Below are 20,906 nucleotides of genomic sequence, written 5' to 3'. Positions count from 1 at the left end.
CCACCCCGGCGCGGGAGGCGCGACAGGTCCCGCAGTTGGCGTCTTTCTCTTCGGCGCTGAGCCTCGGTCCCCCTTGGTTTCCTGAAACGTTCTTGCCCCAGACGTTAGAGGTGACAGAATTAGCTGAAGGCTGGGATCGTTCCTGCCCCACCTTTCTGGGCCCTGACCTCATTCGCTCCGATGCGCAGTTGTGTAGATTCGTAAATGTGCGGCGGTTGTGCTTGTGTTGCCCCTGGAGAAGGAAGGGGAGGTGTTCAGCGTGTGCATGTGCAGTGCTTTGCATTTAAAGTCGAGATGTTGACAGGGTTAACTTGTTTCTTTGTTTGAGACGTAGTCTTGCTCTGTCGCCCAGGCTGGAGTGCACTGGCGCGATGTCGCCTCACTGCAAGCTCCGCCTCCCGGGTTCACGCCATTCTCCTGCTTCAGCCTCCCCAGTAGCTGGGACTACAGGCGCCCGCCACCACGCCCCGCTAATTTTTGTATTTTTTAGTAGAGACGGAGTTTCACCATATTGGCCAGGCTGGGACAGGGTTAACTTTTACAGGTTGTGATAGACGTGTATTTGTAGACCAGTGAGCCTTCGCTTTTCTGCATTATCTGTCCCCATTGCCACCCCACTGTGATCTTGGAAGGCTCCTAATAAAGATTTAATTTTCCATGAGCTCAGTGGAATAGCAGCACCGAGCCTGATAGGAAAAAGTCGAAGTTAAACATAGATAGTTTGAAACTAGATCGTTCTGTAAGCCTTAAGAGCAAAACAGCCGACCTCTGGTCTAGTCCTCCCAGTCCCAGAGTACTGGTCCCCAGACTAACCACCTTCAACATTTTAAGCTGTTCTTCTAATACCTGTTTCCGTATGTTTTTTATTTTTTTGAGACAGAGTCTTGCTCTGTCGCTCAGGCTGGGGTGCAGTGGCATGATCTTGGCTCACTGCAACCTCCGCCTCCCGGTTTCAAGAGATTCTCCTGCCTCAGCCTCCTGAGTAGCTGGAATTACAGGCGCACGCCACGACACCTGGCTAATTTTTCTATTTTTAGTAGAGACGGCGTTTCACCATGTTGGGCAGGCTGGTCTTGAACTCCTGACCTCAGGTGATCCTCTCGGCTCAGCCTCCCTAAGTGCTGGGATTACAGGCACGAGCCACTGCGCCTGGCCCGTATTTTTAAATAATAGTCATTTTCTGCTATTTCTTGCATTTTCAGTTATGGAGAGTATGTGTTGCCTTCCTTCTGTGGCAGATGAGGATTTAGGTCTCACAGAAGCCACTCCCCCGGGGGCTTATCATTTGTGTTGAGAACATTCAATATCCTCCTAGCAATTTGAAACTATATATTATTAACTATAGTTATCCTGAAGTGGTATAGAGCACTAGAACTTATTCCTCCTATCTAGCTATAATTTTGTTTAACAAATCTCTCCCATCCTTGTCTTCCTCCTAATCTTTCCCATCCTCTAGAATCCTGTTATACTTTTTATTTCTGAAATCAACTTTTTTTAAAGCTTATACATTAATGAGAACATGTGGTGTGCAACTTTCTCTTGTTGGCATATTTCACTTAACATAATATCCACCAGTTCCAGCCATGTTGCTGTGAAGGACAGGATTTCATTCCTTTTTACTGCTGAATAGTATTCCATTGTGTATATATAACATACTTTCTTTATCCATTAATCTTGCTGGACACCTAGGCTGATTCTGTATCTTGGCTATTGTGAACAGTGCTGCAATAAACATGGGGGAGGGAAGATGTCTTTCTGATATACTGATTTCTTTTCCTTTGGATAATGCTCAGTAGTGGGTTATTTGTAGTTTCTTGAGGAAACTCCATAGTGTTCTCCATAGTAGTTCTAAGAGTTTACATTCCCAACAGTGTATACGATTTTCCTTTTCTCTGCATCCTCATCAGCTTTGTTTTTTGACTTTTTGATAATAGCCTAACTGGGGTGAGATAATACCTCACTTCCCTGATGATGAGTGATGTTGAACATTTTTCATGTATTTGTGAGCTATTTGTATGTCTCCTTTGGAGAAATGTCTGTTCAGATCATTTGCCCATTCTTAAATTGATTTGTTTGGTTTTTATTGCTGGTGAGATGTTTGAGTTTCTTGTATATTCTGGATATGAATCCCTGTCAGATGAATAGTTTGCAATTATTTTTTCCCATTCTATAGGTGGTTTTTTCACTCTGTTGATTTTTTCATTTGCTGTGCAGAAGCTTTTTAGTTTGACATAATCTATTTTTGCTTTTGTTGTCTGTGCTTTTGAAATCTTATTCATAAAACTTTTTCCCAGACAATGTCCGGAAGCATTTCCCTTATATTTTCTTCTAGTACTTTTAGTTTCAGGTCTTACACTTAGCTCTTTGACCCATTGAACTGAATTTTTGTATAGAGTGAGAGGTGGGGGTCTAGTTTCACTCTTCTGCATATTGATATCCAGTTTTCCTGGCACTATTTATTGAAGAGACTGTCTTTTCCCCAGTGTATGTTCTTGGCACCTTTGTCAAAAACCAGTTGGCTGTAGATGTATGGATTAATTTCTGGGTTATATATTCTGTTCCATTGGTCTGTTTCTGTTTCTATCCCAGTACCATGTTGTTTTGGTTACTATAGCTTATAGTATATTTTGAAGGCTGGTAGTGTGATGCCTCTAGCTTTGTTCTTTTTGCTTAGGACTGCTAAAAGCAAATTCTTGATAAAGAAATAGACCTATTCTTTATAAGATATTAAATAACAATATCTAATGGTAGGTGTAAGAGGTATAATAATTTTGAAGTAGTGATGAAGGTAAAATAAATTTTCTGTATTTGCAACAACTATAAATAGAATTTGACAGTATCTGTGATTTTTACTGACTAAAAAGTTGCAGGTCCTGCTAATAATATTGTGGTTTGTTGCCTACCTTCACAAACAAAGGAAATGCTTAGAAGTTGGTGCCAATAAAGATGGAACTTTTACCTATCCAAGTTATCAGACTCTGAATTCTATCCTTCAGGATTTGTGTACTAGAGGTTACAAACCACTACTCTAGAGTATATAATTAGGAATGGAATTGCTGGGTCATAAGTTATGTATATATTCATCTTTATTAAATCGTGCCAAACTGTTCTATAAATGTATATTCTTAATAGCAGTGTATGAGGTTTTCCTGACCAATTTCTTATTATTGCCCATCTGATCTGATGAGTGTGAAGATGCATTTTTACACCTCTCATAACAAATAAGTATTAGCTGAAGGATGGTGGGAATTACAAGAAGTGGGCAAAGGGAACAATCTACTTGATGATGTTCTTGCATGTTTTTTTTTTTTTTTAAAGGTCAGGCTCATGCAAAAGCAGGAGAGGTGTATCCAGTGCTGGCCCAACTGGGTAGGAGGACAGCAGTTGTACATGTAAACTCTAGATGCTTAAATTTCCTGAGTGAAAACTTTCCAAATAAACATTGAGATGGAAGACTCTTAGACAAAACTCAGAGCCAATGCCTCTAACTTCCGTGATAAGTTTTTACCTCCAGTGTTGGGTCTTCTTTGCCTTAGTAGGAAACTCATCTGTCCTTTGAATCCCTGGGAGCTAGATAAATGAGGGGTTACTATACTTTCTGCTTTTCCAATTTCCCTCAGATGGCTAATTCATAATTTACTATCTTTGCTATATGTAATAGCAGTGTAAAATAAAAATATAAAATAACATAGAAATGTAAAAATAACATAGCTGTAAATATAGATTTCATAGTCTTGGAAGTACCAAATCTACTTTAATAGGAAGCACTCAATTAAAAATTAAAGTTGTTTGTAGGAAAACACTACCACATCTGTGACAGTACTAAAGAAACTCTGATTCTGGGGTTAGTGGGATACAATTTTCTTGAGGTAACTTAATATTTACAGTAAAGACGGTAAATTGGTATTGTCTCATTACCTTATAGCAATACAGCAATAGCTTCAGAAAAGATAAATATATAAAACTCAACAAAAAGAACCAGAAGGTATATGTAGGCTTTTATTAGGGCAAGCATTTCCATATCCATACAGATTTCATTAAAACAAATGGATGTCTCAAGTATCTTTGTTAAACAGGATCCGAAATGAAGTAAATAGTAGTTAAAATTAATTATAAATAAAGACATTTCAGCACATAAACCAACAAGTCTTTTCTAGATTTTTAATACCAGGACCTAACAGCATCATTTTCCAAGTAAGTGACAAATAACTAATGTGAAAACCATATTTAATATAGATGATGTCACAAATGACAATGTGGTTTTCCATAGTAAAGAAATACGTTAATTTTCTTAAATCCTATTTGGTATTACAAAATAAATTTTACTGGTCAAAAAACAACCAAAAAAAACCAGGAAAACAGACATGATGGAAAGGTTGATAAAATATATTAATAACTTAAAAATGCTGTCACAAGCATGGAAATGCTACCATTATCATTTGAATACAACAAAATGCTATAAAGCAAAGAGTTGTCAGAATACAGTAGAAGAGCTATTCTGAAACAAATGAAGAGTCAAGATCTTAAAACAGTGACAAGTATTTTTAATGTATGACAGACACTGAAATACCATGCAGAAAGTAAACAGAACTATTTTTTGAAGTGGTACTTACAAAGCACAGATGTAGCCTTCATAATGCAAGAAACATAGCAAATTAACTTAACACCTCCTTCAAATAAAAGTGAGAACCTCTTGGGAGAATTTAAGCACCATTAGCAGACAGATCCTATAGCAGTTAATGAAATGTTTTGTATTTCAGTAGAAAACTATTTCAGTGGTGAAAACGATGTAGGAATCAGAAGCATATTCTGCTGAGATACTAGGTAGTTGACACTTTCCCGAACTGGAAAAACATTTCATAGAAAGGCATATAGAGTTACTGACTGAAACACATTTGTTCTAAAAATAATTCATGCCTAGTCAAACAGCTTACCAGCTGCCACAACTCTGGGATCCTCATGGGACTTATGTCTCCCAGCTGCACGACTATCTGCACTCTCATTCCACCAAAGAACATGAACTGCAGAAATAAACCACAAGTAGCTTCTAAAAAATATGGCCTTAACAAATAAGAAATAACAGAAAAATGAATCAAACCCATCCTATTCTTTTTTTTTTTTTTTTTTTTTTTTTGAAACAAGAGTTTCACTCTTGTCACCTAGGCTGGAGTGCAGTGGCACGATCTCGGCTCACTGCAACATCTGCCTCCTGGGTTCAAGCGATTCTCCTGCCTCAGCCTCCTGAGTAGCTGGAATTACAGGCGCCCACCACCACGTCCGGCTAATTTTTTTTTTTTTTTGTATTTTTAGTAGAGATGGGGTTTTGCCATGTTGGGCAGGCTGGTCTCGAACTCCTGACCTCAGGTGATCCGCCCACCTTAGCCTCCCAAAGTGCTGAGATTACAGGCGTGAGCCACCGCGCTTGGCCAAAACCATCCTATTCTTTAAATCGAAATAGTGATATCAAAAAGGTAAAACTAAATATGTTACTGATAAGATTTCAGAGGGGTCAGAGACTTGCTAGAGAAATTGATAAATTAATCAAATTGGTTTTATAGATGAAGAAATAGAAGGCTGGAAAACGGAAGTACTGAAGTAAAACAGCTAGAGGCACAATCAAGACAAGACCCAAATTTTATGATTTCCTACTATATTTTCCCTTGATTTTTAAAAAAGCAAAATTATGAGCAAATTGTGCTTATTATTAAAATTTTACATTATACAAAGAAGAAAATTGAAAGTGGTATAATGTTAACAGTATAGAGAAAACCTCTATGGAAATTTATTGTACTTCCTTTAGAAAATATGAGTAAAACCAAATCAGGGTCTTATTGTATATTATAATAACAGATTTAGCTTAGTAACAAGTTTTTAAAAACAGTATTTTCTATGGCAATATTAATTTTTAATGGTTATATAAATTCCTCCTTACAGATACAGCAACTTATTATGTCAACCCCTTATTGTTGACTATTTAGACTATTTCCAATATTTCAGTATTCTATAAAATACTGGAATAAATGTTGTTCTTGTACAAAATTGCTTATGAAGTTTTTATAATTGTAATATATACATGTTAGATGTATAGGAAAATGCAGATTAAAAACAAACTAATCATTTTATTTTTGGTGTATCTCTTTTATATTTGGTGTATCTCTTTCTATATTTGTGTATATATGTATTTTTATTTTTTAATTTTAATTTTATTTTTATTTTTGTAGAGACAGGTTCCCACTTTGTTGCCCAGGCTGGTCTCGAACTCCTAGCCTCAAGCAATCCTACTGCCTTGGCATCCCAAAGTGTTGGGATTACAGGCATGAACCACCACGCCTGGCCTGTATTTTTATATATAGTTGTATATGTATACAAATAAACATATATAAGCATATTTGCTTATGCTTATGTAAATACACGATATGACGTACATGTATATCGATTTCTGTATTACGTATGTATTACATAAAGAAGGTCATACTACATTTCCAATGTTTCTTTAATGTAAACAATATTAACATAAACTTCATTTGAGCACAACTATGTGTTTATAATAATACTTTCGATGACAACTACTGACATTTATTGAATGATAACTATGTGTCAGGCCTAGTTTTAAGCATTTTAATGTATTAACTCATTTAATCCTCATAATAATCTAGGTCCTCATAATAATCTATCATTTTATAGATGAAAAAACTAAGGTATGGTGAGGTTTACTTACCCAAAGTCAAAAAGTAAGTAGTGTACCTGGGATTCAAACCCAGGCAGTCTGAATCTGATTATTTCCTTAATATAAAGTAGAATTTAAGTTGACAGAACCAAAGAGCATGTCTTATATATATGTACTTACATATAGTGTATATAGTATACACTGTCCTCCAGAAATGATGTACTGATTACCAATTCTCCTAACACTGAGAATGAATTTAAGATTAAAAAGTGTATGAACACACATTTTCTGTAGTTTTTAAAAAAATAAAACTTAATATGTGCAGTATAGAAAATTAAGGTAGAGGCTAGGTGTAGTGGCTCAGGCCTCTTATCCCACCACTTTGGGAGGCCGAGGCGGGCGGATCACCTGTGGTCAGGAGTTTGAGACCAGCCTGGTGAAATCCTGTCTCTACTAAAAATACAAAAATTAGCTGGGCATGGTGGCACACAGCTGTAATCCCAGCTACTTGGGAGGCTGAGGCAGGAGAACCGCCTGAACCAAGGAGGCGGAGGTTGCAGGGAGCTGAGATCGTACCTGCACTCCACAGAGCGAGGCTCCATCTCAAAAAAAAAAAAAAAAAAAGAATATTAACATAGAGACTTAACCATTTATCTCACTGAAATATGACTACTATGTATGTTATATACTTTCAAATTTCTTTTCTGTATAATTTAGCACACCTATACACATACACACCCAGGCATATTTTCTAGAAGTAATACTGGCAAAAACAATAAAAATAAGGCTTTTATTTTTATTGTCAAATTTTGGGGGAAGATTAAGCTAATATGAACCCTACACAGTATCTGAGTACTTATTTTTTCCTGACCTAATACTATATCCATGTAAGTATACCTTTTATAAGGTAAAGAAATGGCATCTCATTATTGTTTTAATATGCATTTTCTTTAATATATATTTAGTAGCCATGTGCATGTCTACTTTTGCATAAATTTTTATTTTTATTTTTGCTTTTGAATTTCATTTATGGTGATTTTCAGGCATCCAGATAGTTTGAGCCTTTGTATAATAAAATCATAAGTTGATTTTTTTTTCTTCATAGTTTCTTCATTTGCTTTTGGCTTACAAATATAGTCCCAATCCACATTATTAAATAAATTCATCTACATTTTGTTTTACCAATTTTATGAATTAAATTTTTTTCATTAAAATATACAATCCAGCTTGACTTTATTTTCGCATATGGTGTGAGATAGGCATCTAATAATTTTCATAACAGTTTCTCCTCCATGTATTTTCCAACCTGAATATACATCTGTTTTTATATATTCTATTTTCTTATGATAGATTATTACAAGAAGTTGAATTTCTGCATAAAGATGGGTATATTAGGTTTGAGATGTCCATTGGACATAAAGAGATAATAGAAAGGCAACAGGATATTATGATGAGTCTTTCAAATATTTGTTAGCTATTCTTAGACATTTATCCTTTCTTCGTTACTTTTTTTTTTTAAGAGACAGGGTCTCACTATGTCGTTCAGGGGTTGGAGTGCAGTGGTGCAATCATAGCTTACTGTAGCCTTGAACTCCTGGCTCAAGCAATCCTCCCACCTCAGCCTCCCAAGTAGCTAGGACTACAGGTGTTTGCCACCATGCCCAACTAATTCTTAAAATTTTTTTTGTAGAGACAAGCTGTGTTGCCCAGGCTAGTCGTGAACTCCTGGGCTTAAGCAATCCACCAGCCTCAGCCTCCCAAAAGCGCTGGAATTACAGGTATGAGCTACCTCATCAGCTCTTTTATCCTTTCAGATAAACTTTACAAATGTTTTTCTGAATTTGCCACAAAAAATCTTGAAATTCTGATTGAAATGTTTTTCAACATTACAAGTTAAATACCCCAAGTATGTGTTTTATTAAATAAATTTATATCCATATATAAATTTACCTCAATATATATACATATTTACTATATCTCCCTATATAGATATATATAAAACTGGTGGAAAATGGGTAAATTTTTATGAGGGGGGTTTTCATATTTATACAAAACATATATTACTTTTTTGCTTAGAGATAATCTCCCTACCCCAAATAATATTATTTTTAAAAAATCAATAAAAGTACATTCAGAGGAAAAAGAAATGATGAAAGTAACAGACTATTTCTTGAGGTTCCTTCATTTTTTTTTTTTTGAGATGGAGTTTTGCTCTTGTCACCCAGGCTGGAGTGCGATGGCACGATTTTGGCTCATTGCAACCTCCGCTTCCTGGATTCAAGTGATTCTCCTGCCTCAGCCTCCAGAATAGCTGGGATTACAGGCCCCCACCACCATGCCTGGCTAATTTGTTCTATTTTTACTAGAGACGGGGTTTCACCATGTTTGCCAGGCTGGTCTCGAACTCCTGACCTCAGGTGATCCACCCCCTCAGCCTCCAAAAGTGCTGGGATTACAGGCCTGAGCTACCGTGCCCAGCCGAGGTTCCTTCAGTTTAAAAAATTTAATCATTTTGATGTATCAGGGAAAACAGCTATTCAGCATTTGAAGGTTTCATAAGTTAACATTCTAAATAAATAAGATGTAAAACAGATTTTCTCAATTTTAAAAATTACAAAAAACTAAACATTTGGCAATAAATAATAAAACATACTCTATAATGAGAAAGAACCTGACCCAAGGAACTTAGGTCACAATATATATTACAATTTCATATAAGAAGAAATGGACAATTGTACCTCTGTTGAGTGCTCCGTACTCTGTGTGGAACACTCCAACTAGTTTTGTGTAGCCTAGATTGACATGAGCATGAACTGCCCTTTTAAATGCATCACCCCACAGAGCTGGCCCACCAGGTTTCATCTGAAAAGTGGCCAGTTCATAGACTCCTGGAATAGGGAGAAAAAGAATTTTTCAGAAAACATTCAAGCAATATCCAATCACGTTTCTCAGTGAATAGTCTTTCACTATCTACACACACAGATTTGGAGGATCAGACATGCATACATATTATGTAGACATGTTTATTATATTTGCACTCTCTGCTTTTATGCTTAGAAAGTCCTTGCCCATGTTTAAGAGTGAGTTGTTATGCTTAATCATACAGATGACAAAGAAAAAGAACTGGAAGCTATTATAACTATTATCTGAAATATTTTTAATCTATAACATTTGTTAAAAAACTGTTGAGAATGTATAATGATATAGAATTTTGAGCTGCAAAAGTCTATGCTTTTAGAAAATAAAAGAATAAAAGAAGAATTTTCCAATCTATATTTTCATTCTTTCCAATTTCCACTATGTTTTTCTTCATATAATTTCTCCCTATAAGTTTCCATTTTTAACAGGAACAGCAAAGCAAAGAGTGGACCTGAAGTGATATCTTTGAATTTTGGAGGAAAAAAGACAAACCTAAAGAGATGGTTTTATTTTTCCTAAATATCCAGGTAAATACTTGAAAAGTATTGTACACTTTGGACAGAAGTATAGGGCTGGTGGAGAGAAAGAAACTCTGGGACAAGTAGGAAAAGCATGTAAAAATTTCCAAGCAGTGATGTACACAGAGGAGGAGAACCAAGATTTGACACTGTCAGAGAAGTGAACTATTTTATTTAGATAGTGCTGAGAGCTGAGGGGACACCTAAGTAGGTAAAGATCCAAGGAAGACTTTGTAAATTTTTTGTAACCTAAATACACTACAAAGTTGGGAATAATGGGGGAAGTAAAATAACATTTAAATAAGTTTATGCTTTTCTAATCTGACCTTTATTTAAAACTGGATTGAGGTAATAGTTTCTTTAAGTCAGCAAGAAGTGAAATCAGCAAGAAGACAAATCTTAAGCAATTACTTTCAAACTGAGAAACAAGAAAGAAGACACAAAAGTTAGATTAAAGTAATATAGCTTGGCAGTTTCACTTAATCTGTTTCCCCCAAATACTCAGTTTTATAAGCAAAGCTGTATTTAATGATTTAAGATTAGTTATAATTTATGGAAATACTTTTACATTTTAAAGATCATATTATTTTAAAATTATGGCAAAACTTCTTATGCTATCCCTTACCTATCAACACGTTCTCTGCTCCCAATGCACAAATTCTCAACCTCTACTGACCATGTCAGCTTTCTCTATAACACAGTTAAGCTTTACAAATCTGCAAGGTCTCAATTTGAAAAATATCTCATTATTTTATGCTCATTTTTTTAAAGGATGGGGTAAGAGCTCCCATTTATTTTTACCACAACAATCACTGTATGTTTCTATATAAAACAAAGAATTAATTTTATTTTTTTCCAAAGGAACTTCAGTTTTGATCACTTAAGTTCTTTAGTATTTTATTCATCAAAACTCAGTGACTAAGAAGGAAGGACTTACCTTCTTTTGGAGGTTTTTCTAATTTGCACCATGGTACCAGATAAGTAATCTCACTCTCTTGTTTATCAATGAGAGCCAAATTTGGAATGAGGAATTGTTCTTGCCATTCCTTATCTTTGGCCAAGGCTTTCCGAACTTCAGTTCGATGAGCAAAATTATCTGTGGGAAGAAAAGAATTAAGAAAAATAAAAAATTCAATTTTAAATCACCTGTACTTTTCTGGGTTTCATTCACATCAGCAATGGTCATTGATGCCATATAAGAACCTTGTGTTAGGCCTTTGGAGACACCAACGTAAACAGATGTGACCATCTGCCCTGAAGTTGCTCAAGGACAAAAAGGGCAGTAGAAATGCAAACTAACTGTAATGCCACATAATAGGCTTTATAGGCTCAACCATATAGTAGGCAGTTTTGTGAATTAGGTAAGTTATTGAATCTTTCTGTGCCTCACTTTCTGTGAAATTGAGATAATAAGACATCTACCTCCAGGGTTGTATGAGGATTAAATTAACACATGAAAAGAGTTTAGAATATAGCGGTTGGCACTAGTTAATACTCAGTATATGTGAACTATTCTTACTTGATTGAGGCATTTAACTTATAGTGCTAGTTTAGAGAAAGACTGTTTTTCTTTGGTGGTGGTGGGTAGTCAAGTTCAGATACACCCTGAATCAAATTTAACATGAGTGAAGTTAAAACATCTTGAATCAAATTTAACATGAGTGAAGTTAAACCGTACTTTTTAAGCCTCTTCTCCTTTGAACAAACAGATTTCAAAGAAATAATGCTGATTCTCTTATTGTCATCCATTCTTTCTCCCCAGCACTTATTTCTCTTCTATTTAAGTTACCCAAACAGTTATATACATTTGCCAACATATGGGCCTAGTACTATAATTACCATTAGGACCTCATAAGACTAATGGCAAGAGAGGTTCATATGGTTTACATTGGGATAAGGAAGAATACCTATCTTACAACTTAAGTGAGGTATATCAGAACTTAGTTTTTTTAATGGGCTGTGATACAACTTGTACCACATCTAAAGCATAAAATGTATTTTAATGGGGCTTTTTCTATTAACAGGGAAAAACCCTAAACCAAACACTAAATGAAATTATTAAAAATTCTTTAGGTATCATCAAGTCCTGATGTAGACACTGGAGTAACAAGCATTCTGGGCATTCTTGTAACTTATTCTCCTTCCTCTACTAAACCAGGCGTAGGTTAGTTTCAACACGGGAAGAACTCTCTTTCATTCCTTTTCTTTTACCTCCCTAGAGTAGTATGACAGTGAATTCCTCAAAACTCTGGGGGTACAGATATGAAACAAATGTGGTCTCTAAACATAACAGAATTATTAAATCTCAGAGTTCAGTGAGGATTGAAAGTTAACCATCATCCCCTATAAACCTCCATATTGTGAAGTCCCTTAAATGGTTGAATTATTTCTGCTAAAATACTGATATCCAGCCCCCTAGCTTCAAAAAGAGAAAAGATACTTCTCCTTTCCTTTTGTGATCTTAATCCACTTGGACTTTTACAATTGCTGCTTTAAATTTTTCATGAACTATCTTTACAGCAAACCATTTTAATATTTTTCTGAGGTTTAAAGTCTAGTTCACAATTTTATCGCTTGATATATGAGATGCCATGTCTTCCAATTTATAATGTAATATAATGTAATGTTTAAGCAAGGGGTTAGAGGTGTACCACTGGGAAGAATAAGAACTGAATTTATTTTTTTGGTATTGCTTTTCAAAAGTCTTAGTTAACCTGTATGTATCTAAAATAATATACATCCAAGAACTAAGTTTTATGTTACATTTAACAGAATGAAAATCTATACTGAAAAATGAAAATCTATACTGAAAGCCAAAATTGGATGACTCTTTACCATACTTCCAAATATGAAACACTGTATTCATTCTGCCTCCAAATTCTACACTCCAGTATCCAACCAATTCAGAGTGAGCTGTCCGAAGATGAGCGTTTTTCTCAAAATTTTCCAGGAACTCATTCATCTTTGAGGGCTTAAGGTAATAAGAACGAAATTCATAGAATATTCCATCGTATTGTCTGGGTCCCGTAGCAAAAGATGAGCACATCTGAAGAAGATAAGACAAATGTAAATATCTTGAGAAGACAGGATTCATTATATTGTGTTAAAACCTAATCTGAATCTGGTACAAGGGACACTCATAGACTCATTACTCATGTTTGTACTTCTGTTGTCAATTCTCAATATGTTACTGATGGAGGGTGTCCAGGTTCTTGGTGTTTGAACAAAGAACTGGACAAAATGCACAAAGCAAGGAAAGAATGAAGTAACAAAAGCAGAGATCTATTGAAAATGAAAGCACACTCCACAGGGTAGGAGTGGGCCTGAGCAAGTGGCTCAAGGGCCCTGGTTACAGAATTTTCTAGGGTTTCAGTACCCTCTAGAGGTGTCCCATTGGCTATGTGGTGTAAGCCGTATATAAATGAAGAGGATGAAGTAAAGTTGCAAAGTCATTTACTCTGTGTACACCCTATGTAAATGAAGAGGGTATTTCTTGTCATAGCTGAAGGGTTTGATTTAGTTCTAGGAAGTCCTTAGGTTCCCTGCCTCAAGACCCTATTCTCCTGCTTCACATATACATTTGTTTACATAGAGGTGTCAATAAAGACAACTACTCTTAAATATGCTGAGTGTGTAGTTACTGTTTCCTAGTGGGGGTTCACTGTCACCTTTAGCCACTTTTTCAGAAATTGCTCATAAGAAGGCGCTGAGATCTTAATGATACTTCTTTATCCAAGAACTACAATTAGGATTCTAACAAATTTACAAAAGTTTTCCTATTAGCCAATATTGCATCTTTAGTCAAGAGCATACGTGTTACAGTTATGCACATCAAAGAACTTTATTAACTACGCACGTAACTTTTGGCAGGCATAATGAAAAAAATGTTTACTAGAAGAAAACTCTTTTAGGTTCTTGAAAAAAATGGAAATTACAGTTCAGGTCAAAGTATTTCCTAATTCAATGAAGTAAACCACTGACCAAAATTAGGACTGGAATGTAACTAATGCAATAAAAAGCTCTGACCTATCCAATTGCATTGTAATATAATGGTAGAACATGAATGCTGAGAAAAGAAAATTCAGAGTCAAAATTTTCTTATTAGTTTCTAATTACAGATGCAATGTGAACAACATTTAATGAATCCACTTATACCACATTGATGAAAATATCACTTAAGAACCATTAATTCCTTTTGTAATAGTCATACACGCACTGTAAATTTCTAATTTGTGTTCTGGTTGAACTTTCTGTAAGAAATACCTCGCCTAAGATTATCCTCTATGTAGGTATCTATGTGTATATATGTATACACATACACACACACATACGCACACACACATATATATATGCACTCATGGTATACACACAGGCATTCGTGATATTCTTATAAATCCATCTTACTTAAGTTTGAATAGCATGTGCCATTTCCTTAAGTTGATTACACCAGAATAATCTGTGAAGACAGTTTTGATACCTACAAAGCTATGGACAAATTAGGGCTTATACTGACTAGCCAGTATGTCTGTCTGAAAGCAGTAGGCTTTTGCTCCGACATATTTTTGTTTACAAAATACAAAATTATGTAACTGTGTATGATAAGGCTTAATGATAATTATCTAGAGTTAATTCTATTCGTGTGTGACTTATATTCTTATTGCTCAAATGACTAAGCCTACCAACAAAAACAGCTGCAGCTGCCCCTGCCTTTTGTGGACACTCTTTTTGTGCTTTTAAACCAAACTCTAGTAACAATGTTGGTCAAGAAGCAAGTGCCTAGTATCCATAATTTCAAAATTATTATAATAAAATATATCAGGAGATAGGCCAATGGGGCATTTGTGACAAATGGATTTCAGGTTGATTCGAGGAATTTGTATTTGGAGGATAAAATAGTTGATCAAAGGTACACATTTTTACAATTTTGGGCAGTATTAATATACAGTAGGGAACCTACAGTGAGAGAGGGAGAGAGATGTGGACAGGTGGTGCCAGAGAAGGAAGACTGCAGGGGAGCCGGGTATGGTGGGGGAGCCGGATGGGAGTTAAGAATTTTGTTGCAGGGATGACTTTTAGCTGCTAGGGCAGAAATCATGAGTCGTCCATCCTCCCTTATCTCCAAGTTAGGGATCATTCCCACCAGCAACGACCTCCACTTCACTTAAAAGAGAACAACTGATGGACATTTCTAAAAACTTAAAGTTTGGAATCATGCCATAAGGACGTCATTCCTGGCCCTGCCCCACTGGAGAATCATTAGGGTAAAAACTGCATTGTTAACCCGGGGTGAATGGACATGAGCTGCTCTTCTTTAGTGCTCCTCAGTCTGTCTCTAGGACAGGTTAATCCCCTTCCCATCCTGCCCCTTCAGAAAGGAGTAAAGTCCTAAACATCAAAAGGAAAAGAAATTTCTAGGTTGAAGCCACAGAATAGGCCACTCCCGAAAGTTAGGGCAGAATCACAAGCTCCATTTTGTCCATTTCTCATCTAAGGTTAAAAGAGTCTGTCTGTCATCGTCCGGTTTGATAGGAGGCTCCGGTCCCGCCTGGTTGGGGGAGCGACCACACGAAGCGCGGGTGGCGGGCAGGGTCCAGCCCCACCGGGACCCTGGGCCTCCTCTTCAAGGGTCTCCGCGAAATGCTCGGAAGTTGTGTGCTTCATTTAAAAGGGGGAGGCCGGTTCCGTGGCAAGCGGCTGGTTGACAATTCCCTCCTTCAACCTGATGTCTAGAGAGGGCGGTGGCTTGGAAAGCTACGACTCCACCCGCGGCTCCACAGCGCCAGGTGACAACATGGGAGCGCTCGCTGGGCCGCAGCCGCGACATAGCTGGGCAGCAAAAACGAAACAGCCGGCGCCATGGGAGTGTCCCGGTGGGTGTGGCATCCAGGCTAGAAAAGCCTTCTGACCACCACTGCCCGCGAGACGACCCCGGCTGGGGGTATTCCCCTAGCAGCGGCCTCCTCCTCACGCGCGTTCCGGGTACCCCTGTCTTGGGGTTCCGGGGCTCACGCTAGAACCTCACCGGGGCCCCAGGTCTGGGCGCGCGTGGCGGAGAGCGCATGCGCATTGCTCGCACGTACCCGGAACACTCCCCGCCCCGCCCCTCCCCTCCCGTCGGGTGAAGGCTTGGGTACCCCCGTGGCCGGTACCTGAGGCGCCAGCGTCCGTGAGGCCAGCGCCCGAGTCAGGGCGCTTCTGAGGACGAGCATGGCGCGGCTTCGGCGCTGAGAAAAGCAGCCAGCCGTGTCCTTTCTGAGACTCCTCTGAAGGTTTCCCGAGTGGAAAGGAGCGGCTCCTGGATCATTGGCAGACGCAGGCTGGGGCGGGGCTCGGCGGGGTCAGCTCCACCCCGGCGCGGGAGGCGCGGCGGGTCCCGTAGCTTGGTGTCTTTCTCTGCTGTGCTGAGCGTTGGTTCCCCCTTGGTTTCCTGAAACGTTCTTACCCCAAACGTTAGAGGTGACGTTAGGATTAACTGAAGGCTCGGATCGTTCCTGCTTCAACTTTCTGGGCCCTCACTCACCTCATTCGCTCCAGTGCTCAGTTGTGTAGATTGGTAAATGTGCAGGGGTTGTGGGTGTGTTGACCATGGGGAAAGAAGGAGAGGTGTTGAGTGCGTGCATGTGCAGTGCTTTGTATTTAAAATCGTGGAGGTTTTTTCCGAGTTAAGTTTTAGATGTTGTGATAGACGTGTATTTGAGCCTGACCTCTCTGCAATGAATGTGTTCTCCATCTTAGAAGGCTCCTAATTAAGATTTAGATTAAATTTTCCACGAGCTCAGAGAAATGGCAGCATCGAGCCTGAAATGAAAAAGTCAAAGTTAAACATACCCTGGTCTAGTCCTCCCAGTCCGGGAGTGTTGGTTCCCAGAGTAACCACCTTCAACATTTCAAGCTGTTTCATTTAATGCTTGTTTCTGTATTTTTAAGTAAGTAGTGTTTTCTGCTGTTTATTGCATTTTCAGTTATGGATAGTATGTGTTGACTTCCTTCTGTGGCAGATGAGGATTTATGTCTCATAGATGCCACTGCCCCCAAATTCACTTGTCTTCCTGCATCTAATAATGCTTATGTTAATTTACAGTAATTAATTACACTATTAATTTACAGTAATCTATATTAATGTTTACATTATTCTTGCTAATAATTACATTATTGTAAACATTAATGTAATATTGCTTACATCATGAGGACTAGGGAGGGATTGCAGGGCCATGACCTGGGTTGTATTGGTTGTGCCTTGTGGAAGAGCTTTGGAATTGTCTGTTCAAAGGAAGGGAGACTTTTTAAAATTAGTTATTTCGGAAGGGTTGCCTCAGTTTTTCTAGAAGAGAGACATCTATTTGTAACCATGCAAGACTAAAAAAATCATTTGTATCAGGACTGGATCTATATGAGTAAATTATTTTCTTAGACCTTTTTTTTTAAACCCTGTAATTGCCAATCCATTTACTTATTCAACAGATATTTACTAAATTCCTTCCATGTTCCAGGCACTTTTCCAGAAACTGGGGTACAGAATTGAGCAAAATTCAAAGTCCCGTCCTCTTGGAACATCCAGGATGGAGGAAACAGATAAAAAAAGGAAGAGTAAATATATCAGGGATTGTCAAATAATATAAAGAAAAATAAAGTAAGATACGAATAAAGGTGCTAGTGGAATTCTAAAAGTGGTCAGGATTCTAGCTATTGACTTGGATATTTAGGATTTAGGTTTCTTCATACCACTCCCTCAAAATACACTTTCCTTCCTGCGTTTATTGATGTTTACATTAAAAATATATTTTGGAGTGAGAAAAACATGTTAAAAGCACTGTAAGCACAGGTGAATCTCTTCAAATAGTGGGCTTCACTGTGAGGTGATCTGACCTGGGTATTTCACTGAAGGCTGTATCCCCTCCCCCCAAACTGTTATCTGCAAGTTATTTATCTGTGTAGTCAGTGTTAGGGAAGGGAAACTTCCAGTATCTTATCTGTGTGAGAAAAGCCTTGCTGCCAGTTTCCTGAGGCTGAGGAGGGAAGAAGGCCAGAACACTCAGCATTTGGTAGTATCTTTCAATAATATATTAATTAGGGTAGATTAAATAGCTCTTGTAAATCAACACTCAAAAAAGTGTATTATTACTCAAACACTATAGGAGTTTATTTTTTATAAGAATACAAAGTGGGTTTTTCTAGTTGGCAGGTAGCTCTTCTATACTTAGTGAATTAGGGAGCCAGGCTTCTACCCGGTGGCTTTGCCATTCCCTAGTCTCATCATTAACTGCATCCATCCAGCAGAAAGATACAGGGAACTTCCAAGAGGAATTTCCAAGAGGAAAATACAGATAGGGGCAAAATTCATGGCTACAATTGAGAGATGGCTAAACATTGTTAAGTGCTTCTAAGTAGCTAAAATATTCTCCTATTCTCTTTCTCACAGGTTTTAAATATCCTCAAATACTGTGAGTTAAGCTTTATCTCCGTTTTTTAAGTGAGAAAGGTGAAGTCTGAAAAGAGAATTTTCTCAGTTTCATTGCTACGAAGTGGCACAGACTTTGAAGCCCAATTGTAAAACCAGTTCAGTTTACCATTTATTTTTAAAAGATATGTGATTATTAAGGTAATTTTAGATTTGCAGTGGAAAGTAGCTTTTAGACAGAATTTAAAATGTAATATTGTTCTGTGGCTATTTTAAAAAGCATATCCCTAAACTGCCTGGAAAATGTATAGGATAAATATTTTGAAAATTATTGTTGCATATCCTGAAATTCTGACAAATAGTCCAAAGGATAGACAGTTCAAAGCTAGAAAAATCCTATCAAAAAACTAGATTATTAAAATAGGCTCGTATGATATAGAGTAACTGGGTAGTTATTTTGGATTGGATAGACAGAGATGACCTATCTAAGAAGGTAATATCAAACATTTATTATAGGTATGAAAGTGTATATGAGATATCTGTACACTTTAAAGAAGAATAATAAAGTGAATGTCTGTGCTCTTGCCACAAGGCTTAAGCAAAAGGGTATTGCCAGCAACTCAGAAGCTCAATACATGTTCATTCCTGGTCACATTCTTCTTACAACCCTCTCCTCCAATTCCCTCAAGTAACCATGATCCCAAATTTTGTGTTATTACATTGATTTTTCTGAAATAATTCAACTACATTTGTATATAACTCTAAAGAGTATATTGCTTTGGTTTGCCTGTTTTAGATTGTTTATTAACTAATTTTATTATTTTGTTACATAACTGTTAGCTATAACTTTAGGCTTTTGCAAATCAACCACATTAATGCAGTTGTAATAATTAATTCACATCCCTTTAGTATGCTATTCTATTACATGAAAATACCTTGTTTTTTTGTCCATCTGACTATTATAAACAAAGCTGTTTGAATTTATTTGTAGATGTCTCCTGGTTCCGCCAGAAGAATTTCTCTAGGGCAGGTATTACTAACCTTTTTTTGTGTCTTAAAATCCTTTCAAAATCTTGTGAGCCTGTGGATCCCAAATGTTTTTAAATGTATAACAAATACATAGGGTTGCAAAGAAAACAAATACAGTGAAAAAAGTGAACTAGAATAATCAAAATACAAAATCAAATATGAAAAAAATGAACTAGAATAATGAAATATAAAAAACTTTTTAAAAAGAAATAGAGATGCTTCTTTATTAGGGCACTAAAAAACAATATCTAATAGTGGGTGTAAAAGATGTAATTTTGAAGTAGTGATAAGTGTGGAAGAAATTTTTATGTATTTACAACAACTATAAATGGAATTTGACATTGTCTATAATATTTATTGGTTACAAAGTCACAGGTCCTGCTAATATTGTGGTTTGTTGCCTACCTTCATAAAGGAAATGGTTAATTTTAGTTAGAAGTTGTTGCCAATAAAGATGGAATTGTTATTCATCCAACTTATCAGACCCTCTGAATTCTATCTATAGATTCACTCAGGATCTGTGTACTGGAAATTACAAACCACTACTCTGGATTACATACCCAGGAGTGGAATTGCTCGGTCATAAGTTATGTACATATTCATCTTTACTAAGTAGTGCCAGACTGTTTAATAGCAATGTATGAGGTTTTCCTGACCAATTTTTTATTATTGCCCATCTGGTCTGACGAATGTGAAGATGCATTTTTATACCTTTCATAACAAATAGGTATCCGTTGAAATGTGGTGGGAATTGTATGAGGTGAGCAAAGGAAACTTGATGGTGTTCCCGCTTGGTTTTTTTCGAAGGTCAGACTTATGCAGAAGCGAGCAGGTAGACCCAATTCTGGCCCAACTGAATAGGCCAGGTAATGCCAGTGCTGGCCCAACTGAATAGGAGGGCAGTAGCTCTACATGTAAATTCTAGATGCTTATATTCTGGTACTACATCCCTGGGTACTTTCTTGTTTGGGTGCTTTATTATTCTGCAGCCACTAGATGGTGGCATAGACTCACTTTTCCTTCATTCGGTGTTAGTGTGTGCATATGTCTATTTCTGTTATTTTTGAGTTCCTGTAATGTAAGTTATAGGTATTTATAGAGTAGACTTAACTTACAGTTTTTTTTGTGTGTGATACTGGATTATGTATAGAAGAAAAACTTCTGTAAAGGCAGGTTACTAGTAATAATAAGGCGGGTTAATAATTAAAAAAATCATTTTTTATTCAGTTTTCTTTAAAAAGAGACCTACTGATATCACCAAATATTTGTTAAGCACCTGTTGTATGTTGAACATTGAATTAAATGCCTTAATGAAGAAAAAAGAAAAAACCACCACTGCATGCTTCTTTCTGAGGTGGTCAGCATGTCTTGATAT

The 20,906-nt window shown here is 37.0% G+C and overlaps 1 protein-coding gene and 1 long non-coding RNA gene across 3 annotated transcripts in view, besides 3 other annotated features; one reads left to right on the top strand and one right to left on the bottom strand.

Annotated features, from left to right (window-relative positions):
- Nucleotides 49-248: a silencer, noted in NCBI's record as "fragment chr9:107526139-107526338 (GRCh37/hg19 assembly coordinates)". NCBI's record gives its function as "represses an EF-1alpha promoter that drives an FKBP-Casp9 reporter gene in an ReSE screen in HepG2 liver carcinoma cells {active_cell/tissue: HepG2}" and the evidence as "EXISTENCE:reporter gene assay evidence [ECO:0000049][PMID:32094911]".
- NIPSNAP3A (nipsnap homolog 3A) lies at nucleotides 3,986-16,423 on the bottom strand. Of its 2 annotated transcripts, NM_015469.3 has the most exons (6): nucleotides 16,254-16,423; nucleotides 12,940-13,150; nucleotides 11,042-11,200; nucleotides 9,406-9,555; nucleotides 4,935-5,021; nucleotides 3,986-4,844 (listed from the first exon to the last, which is right to left on the bottom strand). In NM_015469.3, the coding sequence occupies exons 1-6, from the start codon at nucleotides 16,311-16,313 to the stop codon at nucleotides 4,768-4,770; spliced, it is 744 nt and encodes a 247-aa protein (NP_056284.1). In that variant the 5' UTR covers nucleotides 16,314-16,423; the 3' UTR covers nucleotides 3,986-4,767. The 2 variants fall into 2 exon arrangements, with proteins under 2 accessions (NP_056284.1, NP_001316499.1); NM_001329570.2 differs by lacking the exon at nucleotides 9,406-9,555.
- Nucleotides 15,860-16,019: an enhancer, noted in NCBI's record as "active region_28729". NCBI's record gives its function as "activates an Ori minimal core promoter by ATAC-STARR-seq in GM12878 lymphoblastoid cells {active_cell/tissue: GM12878}" and the evidence as "EXISTENCE:reporter gene assay evidence [ECO:0000049][PMID:35858748]".
- Nucleotides 16,440-16,529: a silencer, noted in NCBI's record as "silent region_20143". NCBI's record gives its function as "represses an Ori minimal core promoter by ATAC-STARR-seq in GM12878 lymphoblastoid cells {active_cell/tissue: GM12878}" and the evidence as "EXISTENCE:reporter gene assay evidence [ECO:0000049][PMID:35858748]".
- The window catches only part of LOC107987105 (uncharacterized), a 217,429-nt gene continuing 212,989 nt past the window's right edge, over nucleotides 16,467-20,906 (top strand). The window contains exon 1 of the long non-coding RNA XR_007061705.1: nucleotides 16,467-16,657. This is a non-coding gene — a long non-coding RNA (uncharacterized LOC107987105). The remainder of the gene's footprint in view (nucleotides 16,658-20,906) is intronic.

This window comes from Homo sapiens, chromosome 9 (genome assembly GCF_000001405.40).
Source record: "Homo sapiens chromosome 9, GRCh38.p14 Primary Assembly".
Classification (NCBI taxonomy): domain Eukaryota; kingdom Metazoa; phylum Chordata; class Mammalia; order Primates; family Hominidae; genus Homo; species Homo sapiens.
The sequence above is the reverse complement of the archived record's forward strand: the minus strand, read 5'-3'. Positions and strand labels throughout refer to the sequence as shown.

What these genes read in the sequence shown, in the direction of transcription:
- NIPSNAP3A (NM_015469.3), bottom strand. Translation starts at nt 16,313, where the DNA reads ATGCTCGTCCTCAGAAGCGCCCTGACTCGGGCGCTGGCCTCACGGACG. An exon ending in CACGGACGCTGGCGCCTCAG is followed by an intron (nt 13,151 to 16,253) that starts GTACCGGCCACG and finishes TATCTTCTTCAG; the next exon opens with ATGTGCTCATCTTTTGCTAC. An exon ending in GTTTCATATTTGGAAGTATG is followed by an intron (nt 11,201 to 12,939) that starts GTAAAGAGTCAT and finishes TTCTTCCCACAG; the next exon opens with ATAATTTTGCTCATCGAACT.